The following is a 14664-nucleotide window of genomic DNA, read 5'->3' as shown; positions in this document are numbered from 1 at the left end:
TCCTTCTGGCCTGATCTAGGTCTGTTGGTACCATAAACAGAATGATGGTGGAGGTACCAGCGCATTTTTAACCTCCTTCTGTTTATTATATATAACATAGGAGGGATGGACAAATGATGGAAAACCCATTCCTCCAAGGTGAGATTTTTTTCAAAAAGTCTGGCATAAATCCATTGTTTTTTCCCACCCTACCTTGTAACTTAGTCTCCATATCTACCTTAGAATTGCCACATGCTTGGGATTTCATAGGAAATACTCTAAAAATCTTGTTTGGCAGAAAGGCTCATTGAGAAAAATTCAAAATTATACATCTTTTGAATATCAAAACTTAGGTTTGATACAGTTCACCTCATGTTAAGATGGAATAACTGAGGCCAGAGAAAGTAAGAGACACTGGGAGAGTCTGTGTGACAAGGCCAGGCCTAGGTTGTGATCTCCTGGCTCCAATTCTAGGGATTAGTCCCCATTCAGCCACTCACTTCCTAGAGAATGAGGAGGCAGGTGATTTCATTCTCAAGGGATGGTATTTCAACAATGGTTTGTTATGGCATGTATCAGGTTGTTTAAAAAAGAAAATTCTCCAAAGCTTCCCAGCGGTGACATAGAAATACAGATGCAGACACCCCAACAGATAAAAACAGCCTCAATTACATAACCATGACAGCAAATGGTGAATCATTGCCGTGTAATGAAAAAACTCAGATTGGTCACTAGTAAAAGTAAAAGGATCGCTATGGTGAGTCACTGGGCCCACCCTCCTGCGGAGCCGCTGAAACGCAGACACCTACCAGTTGATTCAGAGTCTGGGCTTTGTCTTCCTTTCTTCCACATCGATGTTTCGGTATTTCACAATGGAGCTTTGCAAGTGATGTAAATTTTCAACAAGGGCTGGGCCGCAGCCCCACACTCTGTCTCTAGACCGTTTGAATAGGTGGGTTCTGCACCTGCACCTAAAAGAGAAGATGACTTGAAATGTACAAATAGCAAGTATTATTGAGTGCCTACTGTGTTCCCAAAAGACACATGGACTGGAGATTCATTACACAGGTTCATCCTTGTAAACTCTAGGAGATGGGCACTATCCTAATTTCCCTGAGGCCAGAACAAAGGCTAGGGGGATTCAGAACTTGCCCAGAGTCTTACAGTTAGTAGGAAGTGACAGAGGCAGGACTCATCCCAGGCAAAACCATGTGAAGGCCTACCCTCTTTCCACCAGGCAAGAAGGCGTCCTCCAGCCTTTTGACTGCCTTGGTGGCGCAAGAGAAAGGTGGGGCACCAGGTGGTGGCTGTCACATGGAAGAGGAAAGAGCAAGTAGAGGTGGGCCCTCACATCTATAGAGTGGCACTTCCACAGTGCGTGAAGTGGCTGAGCACTGGATATCGGTTTCCCCTAGCAGTAAAGTAGAAGCATTGAAGTGAGAGAAGACCTATTTGTTCAGTGGAGAGCAAGGCTTACATCTACCTGTTACTCCTTTGGCAGATTATGCTTTAAATTGACCATCTGAGACCAAGTGGGAAGTTCCAGAAACAACCTTTTATTTAACACTGATGTGGAGCACTTTGTGGGTGGTGTCTCAGCAATCTGCTACTCTGGCCTATACTGTGGAGTGGAAACTCACCCAGAATAATATTTTTCAAAGCAGCTTATTCACTTGGTGGGTGGGTAGGAAGGGTTATCTCTTCCTCAGGAAGTTCCAACTGAGCAGCATGAAAACACACTATTCTTTTTTTTTTTTTTTTTTTTTTTTGAGACAGAGTCTTGCTCTGTTGCCCAGGCTGGAGTGCAGTGGCATGATCTCGGCTCACTGCAACATCTGCCTCCCAGGTTCCAGTGATTCTCCTGCCTTACCCTCCCGAGTAGCTGGGATTATAGGCACCCACCACCATGCCTGGCTAATTTTTTGTTAGTAATAGAGACAGTTTTCACCATGTTGGCAAGGCTGGTCTCGAACTCCTGACCTCAAGTGATCGCCCACCTCGGCCTCCCAAAGTGCTGGGATTACAAGCGTGAGCCACTGCACCTGGCTGAAAACACATTATTCTTTCTGATGGTCTGAAAAGTAATTCACTTATGTATATACATTACTGGTATGACCCTCTTCCCCAGCCACATCTCCTTTTTAATATTAACATATTCAAATGAGCCATTGAGTATGCATAAGTGCAATTGACCACAAGACTTGGGGCCTCAGTCCAAAAGAGCCAGTGCCTCTGCATCCAGGTGTGGAGAGGCAAAACTGTCATAGCCTGAAGCTGGTGGGTGAGAGTGGTACAATCATTTTGGGCAACCATTCGGCAGTATGTACTGAAGCTAAATCCATGCTGCACCCCGAGCCCAGCAATTTCGTCCCTAGGTGCATGCCCAACAAGGGTGGATGTGTGTGCACACAAATGTGGGGGAATATTCACAGGAGTCAAAACTCCTGTGAATACAAAGATCTACCAGCAGTGAATAAAGGAAGAAATTGAAGTTTAATCACCAAAAGATCATATACAGTAATGAGAGTGGACAAGCCACTGTTTCTTGTGACAGCATGTGTACATCCCACAAACATAATATTGAGCAAAAGAAATGGACGCAAAGAACATACTGCAGGCTTTTGATTAACACACTTGTTCATATATATATATGAACATACTTCATATATATATATGAACATACTTCATATATATATGAACATACTTCATATATATATATGAACATACTTCATATATATATATGAACATACTTCATATATATATGAACATACTTCATATATATATATGAACATACTTCATATATATATGAACATACTTCATATATATATGAACATACTTCATATATATATATGAACATACTTCATATATATATGAACATACTTCATATATATATATGAACATACTTCATATATATATATGAACATACTTCATATATATATATGAACATACTTCATATATATATATGAACATACTTCATATATATATGAAATTTAAAAACAGTAAAAAGGGATCAACGGTGGGCATAAAAAGTCAGAAGAGAAGTTACTCTTGGGAGAGTCAGTGACTGGGCGGGGGCACAAGGTAGCTTCTGGAATGTTCTGTGCCTTGATCTTGGTGTTAGTTTAACCGAGTTCATTTATGATTTGTGCACTTTTCTGATGTATATTATTGTCAATCAAATTTTTTCTTAAAAATGTGAAAGGGAAGGAGTCAAGGTCTCCATCCCTTTTCCTCCAAGAGGCTTCTCCCACTGTGTGCTCACCCACACTCTTGCTGTGAATCGTGAATTCTGCATTCCAAGGGATATTTCCAGGGACAGCCTTCATCAACACAAGATGCCTGTTCCCAGGTGCATAGCTATGGAGGCCAGCTCTGGGGTTCTGCCCGGATAAAGGGAATGTGCTTTGCTTTTCCTGTTAGAGAAGCACCTGCATCTTTAAAATGACAACTTCTCCCACCAAAGCAAGCAAACAAGTTTCGCCTCATCTGCATGCTGCTACACACACACACACACACACACACACACTCTCTCTCTCTCTCTCTCTCTCTCTCTCTCTCTCTCTCTCTCGCTGTTTTTCTGATTATCCAAGAACTGCAGGCCTGTTGTAGAACACTCAGAAAATGTAGGGGAAAAAAATGGAGAAAATAAATAAAAATAAAGGGGAAACCACACATGATCTTATTACCCAAAGACAATAGAAGCTATTATTTTCTCTCGTTTTCTTCCAGTCTTTTTAAACACACATATTTGATAAATAGGGGGTGTTTTGTTTTGAACTTTAAAGATCAGATTTATCTGGAGAAAACAAAAAACCCACAACCCAAAGGATGGGATTTTACATCTCAAGCCATCTCCCAAGTATTAAGTCTACAGATTACAAATCATTTTTATAGAAGATATTTTTGTACAAATTTTACGTGTATTCAGGAGCGGGATGTAGATCAATCCCCATTTCTATTTTAACAGGGGCAAGGTAGGAGAGTGGAAAAAACAGTTTTAGATGCAAATATTTGAAAGGAGAGCAGACATGAAGCTTTTCATTATCTACAATCAATAGGCTTAAAATAAAACAAAACTTTCAATCTTCCATATCTCTCTTTAACAGCTCACTTCTAGCTGCTAGCCAATCCACACCAATTATTTAAATTCACTTGGTATACACCTTTTGTCCACTGGGTAAATTATTCATTATGCCCGCTGCTGCAGCACACATAAACCAACAGCCCTGCTTGGCTGAACAGGGCCTAGGACTGGTGGGAGATGGGCTTGAAACTGAGATCAAGGTGTCATTTCTCTGCAGGTGCTAATATTGCCCATGATGGGGAAAGATACCATCTACCAAGCTGATTCCTACACAAATGCACATAAAGGCACACAAGTTTAGCTACTGTGTTGCAAGAGAAACCAGGACCTTGTTAAATAGTTCTCTCCATTACCATTTATTTTCTCAAGGGAAGTTTTAAAACAGAAAAGAAAAAACCCACACATTGGTCTAGGCCACCTTATAAATCCAAGCATTGGTGTGGCATTTCAGTGGAGATTGAAACTTGGGGAAAAAAACAAACACACACACAAACAACCATCAACGTTGTAAGAAAGGCTCCCAATTTAAGTGTCCCTATTTATCCACCCTTATTCATCATCTGAGACCATCAATTCTAGAGCAGGATGAATACAGTTTTAATACGGTTAATGAAGTATAATTTCCATCTAGTGAAAAATTCACTTGTTTTAAGTGCATAATTTAATGATTTTTGGCAAATTTACAGTTATGTAACCATCACCACAATGCAGTTTTAGAACATTTCCATCATCCCAAAAAGATCCCTCCTTCCCACCTGCAGTCCATCTCTGTTCCCATAAGCCCTAGGCAGCCACTGACCTGCTTACTGTCTCTAGAGCTTTGGCCTTTCCAGACATTTCATATCATATGAAGTCTTCTGTGTCTGGCATATTTCACTCACTATAGTGTTTGTCGAGGTTCATCCATGTTGTCACATGTATCAGTTTCTTCCTTTTTCTTCTTGAATACAATTCTAGGGTACATCTACATATATCACATTTTGTTTATATACTCATCGGTTGATGAACATTTGGATGTTTTGGTTGTTATGAACAATACTGCTATAACAATCTGTTTACAACTTTTTGTATTGCCAGACCTTTTCATTTCCATTGGGTAGTTTCCCAGGGGGGTGGGCAGGGGGGAATTCCTGGGTTGTATGGGAAAATTACACTTGAGTTTTTAAGAAACCGACAAACCATTTTTTTCGAGGTTGCTGTACGATTTTGATTATGGACATTCTAGGTAGCGTGAGGTGGTATCTCACTGCGGTTTTAAGATGCATTTCCCTGATGACTAGTGGTTTTGATCATATGTGTATTAGCCATTTATTTGTATTTTTGGTAAAATGCCTATTCAAATATTTTGCCTATTTTTAAAATTGGGTTGTATGTCGTCTTATTGAGTTGTAAGAGTTCTTCATATATTCTGGGTAGAAGTCCTTCATCAGGTATATGTTTTATAAAAATTTTCTACTAGTCTGTGGCTTGTCTTTCCATTCTCCTAATGTTGTCTTTTGAAGCACAAAAGGTTTTCATCTTGATGAAGTCCAATTTATCAATTTTTTCCTTTTACCACTTGCACTTTTGGTATCTGAGAACTCTTTGCCTAACTCAAGGTCATAAAGATTGTATTCTATGTTTTTTCCTAAAAGTTTTATAGTTTAAGGTCTTGCACTTAGGTCTAGGATCTATTATAAGTTAATTTCTTTATAAGGTGTGAGGTAAGGATCTGAATGCTTCTTTTGGCATGTGGGTATACAATTATTCCAGCATCATTTGTTAAAAAGCTATTCTTTTTCTCCATGGAATAGCCTCAGTACTTCTGTTCAAAAGCAATTAACCATAAATGTAAGGTTTTATTTCTGAACTCTTAATCCAGTTCCATATATATATTTATGTATGTGTATACATATACACACACACATACATATCTTTATGCCGGTACTACACTGTCTTTATTACAATAGATTTACAATAAATTTTGAAATTAGGAAGTGTGAATTCTCCTACTCTTTTCTTCTTTTTCAAAATTGTTTTGGCTCTTCTGGGTTTTTTGCATTTTCATATACATTATAGAATTAGCTTGTCAATTTCTGCAAAAATGCTTGCTGAGATTTTTATAATGATCGCAATGTATCTACAGATCACTTTGAGGAGAACTGCCATCATAACCATATTGAGTCTTCCAATCCATGAACATGGAATATATCCTCACTTATTTAAACCTTTAGTTTCTCTCAGGGATGTTTTATAGTGTTTGGTGGACAAGTATGATGCTTCTATGTTTAATTTATTCCTAAGTGTTTTATTCTTTTGATGCCATTGTGAGTTAAATTGCTTTATTATTTTATTTTTGGCTTGTTAATTAATTTTGGGTTTTGGTTTTGTTTGTTTGTTTGAGATAGGGCCTCATTCTATTCCCCAGAATGGAGTGCAGTGGCATGATCTTGGCTCACTGTAACCTCCACTTTCCCAGGCTCAAGCAATCCTCCCACCTCAGCCTCCTGACTAGCTGCTACCACAGGTACCCGCCAGCACACCTGGCTAATTTTTGTATTTTTTGTAGAGACAGGGTTTCACTATGTTGCCCAGCCTGGTCTCAAACTTCTGAGCTCAAACAATTCACTCGCCTCTGCCTCCAAAGTGCTGGGATTATAGGCATGAGCCACCGTGCCCAGCCTGATTTTTGTATATTGATCTATAACCCATGACCTTGCTAAACCTGTTTGCTACTTCTAGTAGTTTGTGCATATGTGTGCGTGTGTACATGTGTGGGTATTCTTTAGGATTTTCTACATACAAAATCATGTCGTCTGCTAATTAAGGCAGTTTGGCTTCTTTCTTTCCAATCCTATTCATTTGCTTTTACTTGCCTGTTTGTACAGTCCAGAACTTCCAGTAGAATGCTGAATAGAGGTGGAGAGAGTGAATATCCTTGCCTTGTTACCAATCTTAGGGAGAAAGCACTCAGTCTTTTGCTGTGAAAAATGGTGTTAGTTAGAGGTTTTCAGTAAACCTTTTTTTTTAAGTTGAGGAAGTTTCCTTCTATTACTAAGTTGTTGGGAGTTTTTGTAATGAATGGGCATTCAGTTTTGTCAAATGCATTTTCCTGTGTCTGTTGGGATGACCATGTGGTTTTTGTTCTTTACTCTATATGGTATATTACATTAATTGATTTTCTTGCATTCTTGGGATAAATCCCAATTGGTCATGATGTATAATTCTTTTACATGTTGTTGGATTGAGTTTGCTAGCATTTTGTGGAGGATTTTTGCATCTATAGTCATAAGAGATATTCTGTAGTTTTATTTTCTTGTAGTAGCCTTACCTGGTTTTGGTATCAGGGTAATACTGACTTCATAGAATGAGTTGGTAAGTGATTCTTTCTCTACTATTTTCTGAAAGAGTTTGTGAAGTATTGGTTTTGTTTCTTCATTAATGTTTGCCAGAATATACCAGTGAAGCTATCTGGGCCTAGACTTTTCTTTGTGGGAAGTTATAAAATTACTAATACAGTTTTTTTTTTTTTTAACATGTTACAAGTCTATTTAGCCCATCTCTTTCTTTCAGGACTTTGAGACCAGCCTGGGCAACATGGCAAAACCCTGTCTCTACAAATAAGATACAAAAATTAGCCGGGTGTGGTGGCACATGCTTGTAGTCCCAGCTATTCGGGAGGCTGAGGTGGGAGGATCGCTTGAGCCTGGGAGGTGGAGGTTGCAGTGAGCAGAGATCATGCCACTGCACTCCAGCCTGGGGGACAGAACAAGACCCTGTCTCAAAAAGAAAAAAAAATTATCCTAAAGCTTTTCCCACAACATTAAATACTCCTTAAAACCCAGTTTTGTAAGTGTTTAACATTGCATCATATTGAAGAATACAACTTACTTAGCCGTTGCCCTATTGTTAAACATCTGGATAGTTTCCTAGTTCCTCATTATCATAAACAATGCCTACATGAACATCTTTATCCCTAAATCTATATCTAATTATTTCATTAGATTGATGTCTTGAAAACCAGGTTTCCTGGGTGAATGCATGTAAACACTAATTGCTTTCTAGAAGGACTTTACCACTCTGCGCTCCCACTGGCTGGTGTGAGGGCGTTTATTTGACTGCACTTGCTCGATGGATGTTTGAAATGGAAGTCTTGGCCCAGGTTTTCTGGGGCCCAGTGACAGTGGGGCCCCTGGAGGCTCCAGCAGGGCTGAGTCTGGGGACAAGCCCCTCAAGCTGCTTTCAGCTGGGAACAGGTGCAGCGAAGGTGAAAGATGCCCTTTCCCAGGCGGTCTCTGGGTCCTGGAGACCGCTGTGTGTCAGCCCTGTGCTCTACCAAGTTGAAGCCAATGGTGCCGGCCTCAGCCCCTGCTGGTGAAAACCTTGAGTTTGGTTCCTGGGCCCCTGGGAGCCACAGGGTTCCCACAGGGTCGGGGGACCTGTGTCACTCATTCCATTCAGCACACACTGTCGTGCACCACACTGCAACCGCCAGTGTGATCTTCCCAAAGCACAGATGAGGTTGGTTCACCCCATACCCCAGAGCTCTTCATTGTCTGCATGGAACGAAGTTCAAGCTCTTCGGCTTGGTGTTCCACAACCTTCCATGACCTGCCTCCAACTTACCCTTCCAGCTTTGTTCATTCTTTCTTGTATTCAACAAATATTAGTAATTGCTACATGCAGTAACCAAACCAGACTCTCACTATAGAGGACATTTAGAAGCATTTCTCCCTGTCCATAGCTCTACCTCACTATTCCCAGAACAACCAGAACTCAGCGGCCGTAAAGTTCTGTCTGCTCAGCAAGACCCTTCTGGGCTACTTCTGTAAGAGAAGCCTCCTCTGACTCCCTGGCCATGGGCAGGGCCCAAAACATACAGTAGGTCGCCAGTAAATGTCTAAGGACTATGCAATTTCATGGTGTTGGGCACCTCTGGAGTCAAGCCGGGCCTGTGGGCCAGCCCCAGCAATGCCATGGATCCCCTGAGTGCAGGGGAGTGTGGCAGGAGGGGTGCAGGTGCAGAAATCATAGCATGATGGTGACAGAAGCCACGCTGGACATCAGCTCTGCGCTCTGCACAGGCTACAGGACATCAGCTCTGCACTCTGCACGGGCTATGGGACATCAGCTCTGCGCTCTGCACGGGCTATGGGCTGCTCTATAAGGCGCAGGCCTCGGACTAGATGAGCAGTCCTCAGGAACCAGTGACCTGACAGTCCCCCTTCTGGAACTTTTTTTTTTTGAGACGGAGTCTCGCTCTGTCGCCCAGGCCAGAGTGCAGTGGCTTGATCTCAGCTCCCTGTAACCTCCGCCTCCCAGGTTCAAGTAATTCTCCTGCCTCAGGAGATTCACTGGGATTACAGTGCGCTGGGATTACAGGCTTGCGCCACCACACCTGGCTGATTGTTTTTTTTTTTTAAGTAGAGATGGGGTTTCACCATGTTGGCCAGGCTGGTCTCGAACGCTTAACCTCAGGTGATCCACCCACCTCAATCTCCCACAGTGCTGGGATGACAAGTGTGAGCCACTGCTCCTGGCCCTTCTGGGACTTCTGTTACAAGGCCAAGTTCCTTGTCCTAACCCCAGAGAACCCCAGAGATTCTCAGTTAGGGGCCCGTGGCAGGGCTCAGAATCTGTATTTTCATGACTACCCCATTCCTGGTTTTGGAATTACTAGAGCAGGTGATCCCTAGCAGCCACACAGCCTCAGTTTCCTTGAGCTCTTGGATCTAAATGTGATAATTCAAACCAGAAGTTCTGTGAAAGAGTCTCATTCACAGAGTATCACTTAAAATCCCCCAGTGAAATCTGCTACTTAGAAATTCTGCCCATTTTTCTTCCTTTTAAAAAGGGGACCCACTGGGGGGCCATGAAGGTGACCTGTGTGTCTCTTGACAGGCTTGCCCAGGTACAGGCAAAGCTTGAGATGGAGAGGCCAGGCCAGTGGGACCGTGCACAGCCCTCTCCTGCATAGCTTCGTGGCTGTGTGTGGCAGCTGTTCTGCAGTGTCCTAGTGAGCCCAGGGGCCCGGCCTGGAAGTTTTGCTCACAAATGGCCCCCTCTGGCCTCCCAGGAGGCCCACAGCCACAGGCACCCTGCAGGGGTGGGTGGCCAGGAGCCTCAGACCTGGAGTGGGCTGGGGGCAGGTGCTCTCCAAGGGGAAGGGTCCACTTCAGAGGTCCAAGGGCCAATCAGCCACCTCACTGAACCTTGGTTTCCCCATTTGTTCTGTAAGAGGACTCCTGCTGGCCTGCCTCCCAGCAAGTGCTAATGGGAGGGACAGTGACGACCCGTGTGCTCCAACCTGAGCCCCCTCCGTAAGGAGGAGTGAAGGCCAGGCCCAACCCATTGTCCACCTCCAGGGAGGACAGGCAAGAGAAACCCGAGCACCTCTCAGGCGGGGTCCAGGCAGGAGGCCGCAGCCCCATGGGGCCCTAGTGAAAAGGCCCAAGGCAGGAGTCCAGGCTGAGGCACAGGTTTCCAGGAGCCTGTCAGGGAGCAGCTGCTGGAGGAGCTCAGCGCTCCCGTCCTGGCGGCCCTTCCCTGTGTGACCCCCAGTCCCATCTCAGCTGACTGTTGGAGACTCCAGGGGTGCCCCGTGAGCACTCCTGGGAGAAAGCCACCTTCTGCAGCAACAGAGGCTCTAGTGACCAACCTGGGACCCCGTGTTCTGGAAACACTTCCGAAAACCTATACTGGCCAGAAAGGGAGGTAAACATGGGCCCAGCCACCCCAGGACTCTGGCCATCTGAGCTAGAGATTGAGGCAAACTACAGATGAGGTTAGGGTCTGGGTGAACCCAAACAGCGTCTAGTCCAAAGCGTCCGTTTTACAGACAAGCAAACCAAGGCTCAGAGTCCTGAGGCAAATCTGCTCAGCGTGGAGCCCCAGACTCAGGTTCCCCGGACTCAGAGAAATCATTTCTTCGGTGCTGTTGTCTGAGGCGGAGGAATTTTGCCTCGTGCTGGCTTCTCATTCCCTTTGGTCCCCTCTTAGACTGGCCCATGCCTGGGTCCCACCGGGTGTGTTCCTCAAGACGTGCCTGGGGGAGCTCCTCTCTCCAAGGAGGCTCTGGGGCAAGAGGCCATGAAGAGGTGGAGTCTCAGACCCTCAGCTCAGCCTCGACAAAACACGCACGGGGCGCCCCTGACCTCTTTCAGCTGAGGGAGGAAAAGCAAACATTTATTTCACCACATCATTCACCTTGAAGCTTCTTGTTACCCCTTGGGCAGCAGAGCTCTGAGGTGGAAGTTGTTTTGTTTTTTGTTTTTGCTTCTTTTTTTTTTTTTTTTTTTGAGACAGAGTCTCACTCTGTCATCCATGCTGGAGTGCAGTGGCACGATCTCGGCTCTCTGCAGCCTCTGCCCCCTGGGTTCAAGCGATTCTCCTGCCTCAGCCTCCCGAGTAGCTGGGATCACAGGCGTGCACCACTATGCCCAGCTAATTTTTGTATTTTTGGTAGAGACAGGGTTTCATCATGTTGCCCAGGCTGATCGCAAAGTCCTGGCCTCGTATACCTGCCTTGGTCTCCCAAAGTGCTGGGATTACAGGCGTGCGCCACCGTGCCCGGCCCTGTGGCGGGAGTTTTTATCTCATTTTTACAAGCAGTTGGGAGAGCCTGTAAGGGAGGCCTGGGGTTTGAACCCTGGTCTTTGTCTCCAGGAGAGAGCTCTAGAAAGGGAAAAGAGAAATCCGAAATGGTGTCAGCATTCACGCTTGAAGCGTATCTCCAGCCATCGTGTGCGGGCTGCAGTGAACAGTCTCCCTGTGCTTCAGGAGCTCATTGTTATCTCTTAGCCACAGCAATTATGTGAGGGGCATGATAGTAGCCCCATTTTGCAGATGAAGAAACTGAGGCTCGGAGGGAGTACCTGTCCTAGGTGGGGTCACCTAGCTCATAAGGACGGAGGCCTGACGCCACCTCTTTCCACCGCCTTCCGCTACCTCTGTTTGGAATTCTCTGGCAAGTTGTGCAAAGTGTAGACCTGCACCTGCCCTTCAGTTTTACATGCGGGGAAAATGAGGCTCTGAGGGGCGGCTACACAACTGGTATAGAGACTCCAACCAGCCCGTCAGCCTCCAAGCCCAGCAGTCTCTCTAGACCAGCCACTTCCAATCGCACGTTCTCTGTCCCTTGGTTCCCTGGCTCTTCCCAGACCCCCAGAGCCCTGGCCCTAACAGGCCACCTCATAGTCCCCCTGCCACCATGGGAACCAGACCTCAGACAGAGGCAGCTGAGGCAGAGGACAGGCAGGGGAGATGCTCACAAAAGCCAGCACAAAATGCAGCCGTTTGGTACTTTCATCTTTTTGCAACTCCTGAAATAACACCTTTTAATTGCTTCATTTTCTGTATTCTTTCATTTTATTTAGACTAGTCTGGGGCTCTCCAGTCTGGCATATTAGAGAACTTCTTACTTTTTAATAATAATACTTAGCGTTTATGTAGCACGTTTCATGTTCAAAGTGCTTGACAGAGTTCACTAATTAATCTGAATGCTAACAGCTGTCCTGGGCAGGTTTGCCCAAGTTCTCAGGCTCCTAATTGTGAGGGGTGGAATTCTTCCTGCTGCCTGACCCCTGGTTCCTTCTCTGGACCCCCCAATTCTCTCTGCAGTTGAGGCTCTAGGCTATCAATCACAGTTGACCTGTGTGCTGGGTCATGCTCAGGGCTGGGGGACATGGAGCAGGGGCAGACACGCTGCCACCTCAAAGGGCCCTGGAACAGTGAGGGAAGAGACTCTAGTGCTAAGACATGTGTCTCGGTGGAGAGAAGCTTGGGGACAGCGGGAGCATAGGAGACAGTGACCCACTGGTCTTGCAGAGCTGTAGGAGGAGGGGATTTCAGGAGCAAAGAGGAGCTCTCCAGGCAGGCCAGCCAGGCAGAAACGGCATCCCAGGCAGAGAGTGCAGCCTGTGCCCAGAGGTGGTGTTGAGAGGCAGACATTCAGGGCTTAAAGGAGGAGGGGGAGAGATGCCATGGAGGCCGGGCCAGGCTGCTGGAGCTGAGGCCTGCCGAGGAACTGGACCTTACGCCACGGACTGTGGCTGGAGGAGCAAAATCCTTGCCTGTGGCAAGAAGACACAGAAGCCAGGCTTGAAAGGTGGTTCTGCACATTCAAGATTCTTCTGTAGGCTGCGAGGGGCTGAACCGAGGACAGGCATGAAATGGAGAAGCCTGAACTAGGGCAGAGAGAAAGGAGGCCGAATCCGGGAGAGATTGGTGGGACGACAGGACTCAGAGGCCCGTCAGGTGTTGGGGGTGGAGGGGGGCGTGGCGGCGGGGTGGCCTGAAGGTCCTGGAGTGCAAGCACAAGTCCCTAAAGGGGGCTTGAAAAGGCGGTGCCTGCGGACCCCTCCCAGTGTAGCTGCAGGTGAGATGTGGGGCATTCGCTGAATGACCATACATGGATTCACGGGTCAAGAGCTTGGGCAGGGTATGGAGAGGTCTGGAAAGAGCCATACTTGGTGTCACTGTGTCCAGGTGGCATTTGATACCCTGAGAGTGCCTGGGTTTATCTCTGGGGACATCAATAATTAAGGGGGCAGTGGAGGCAAGGGGCTGACATGGGCTGCTGAGTGAGTTAGGCAGAGTGGGGCGAGATCTGAGCAAGGTCCGCTGGATGGCTTGGTGCCACTGCCACTGAGGGAGAAGGCTGGGTAGCAGGAAGGGGAGGAAAGGCTGGTGGAGGAGGGGTCAGAGCTGGGGAGAAGCTTCTGCATGATCGTGTCCACAGGCCCAGTGGAGGGAAGGAGGCTGGCTGCCGGGGCAGGTGCCTGAGGAGTCCAGCACAGGTGTCCACTTCCACCACGTGGTGGGGGTGGGAGGAGGCGGATCAGGGCAGGTGCACTGGGGGGAGCCGAGGGAACTCACCTGTGACTAGAGGAGCCAAATCCTTCCCTGTGGCAAGAAGACACAGAAGCCAGAATCAGAGGCCCTGCCCCTGTCCTAGGTCTGCCCAGTCCTCTTCCTGCAGAGCCAGGAGGAGCCCCGGGGCCATCGGGGTGGAGGGCAGGCCTGGGGTCTTGTGGAGGCTCTTGTCTACAGCTTGTAGGCCAGCTGTGCCCATGGAGGGTCCCAGTCTTCTTCCCACCACCTCCTGGGGGTGTCAAAGCCCCTAATGTTACAGCTGGGGCTCCCTGCCTGGTAGGTACCAGCCGCCAGCAGCTGTTCCTTCGACAGCAGGGTCTCAGCTGTTTTGTTGGGGGGCAAGCCCCACCGCCAACCCTCCCAGGCAACCCTTCAAGTGGGGCAAAAATATAGCCTGTGCCTGTCCTAACTTCCAATTCCCCACCCAGACTCCAGCGAGAGAGTCGGAGACAGCCTGAAGTCCCGAGGGCCTCAAGTCCCACCTCCCCACTGGCCCGGATGCAGCCCTTGCTGGCCATGCCCAACCTACAGCCTCCGGTCCTGGAAGACCAGGGGACCGCACAGAAGTGGGAGGGTGAGCAGGAAAGTGGATGGGGGCCAGGCCTGTCCTGTGCAACTCAGCCCTCGCCCTGCAGCATCTTCTACCTGGTAAAAGAGGGGCGTTGGAGATTCCCACCTTCAGACCTCGGGCAGGGGAGGAGGGACCGGGAGGCACCCGCAGGAGAAGGGAGCCAAGGTGGGGAGGTGCT

The sequence above is a fragment of the Homo sapiens genome, chromosome 2 (genome assembly GCF_000001405.40).
Source record: "Homo sapiens chromosome 2, GRCh38.p14 Primary Assembly".
Lineage (NCBI taxonomy): Eukaryota > Metazoa > Chordata > Mammalia > Primates > Hominidae > Homo > Homo sapiens.
This window is presented reverse-complemented; position numbering follows the sequence as displayed.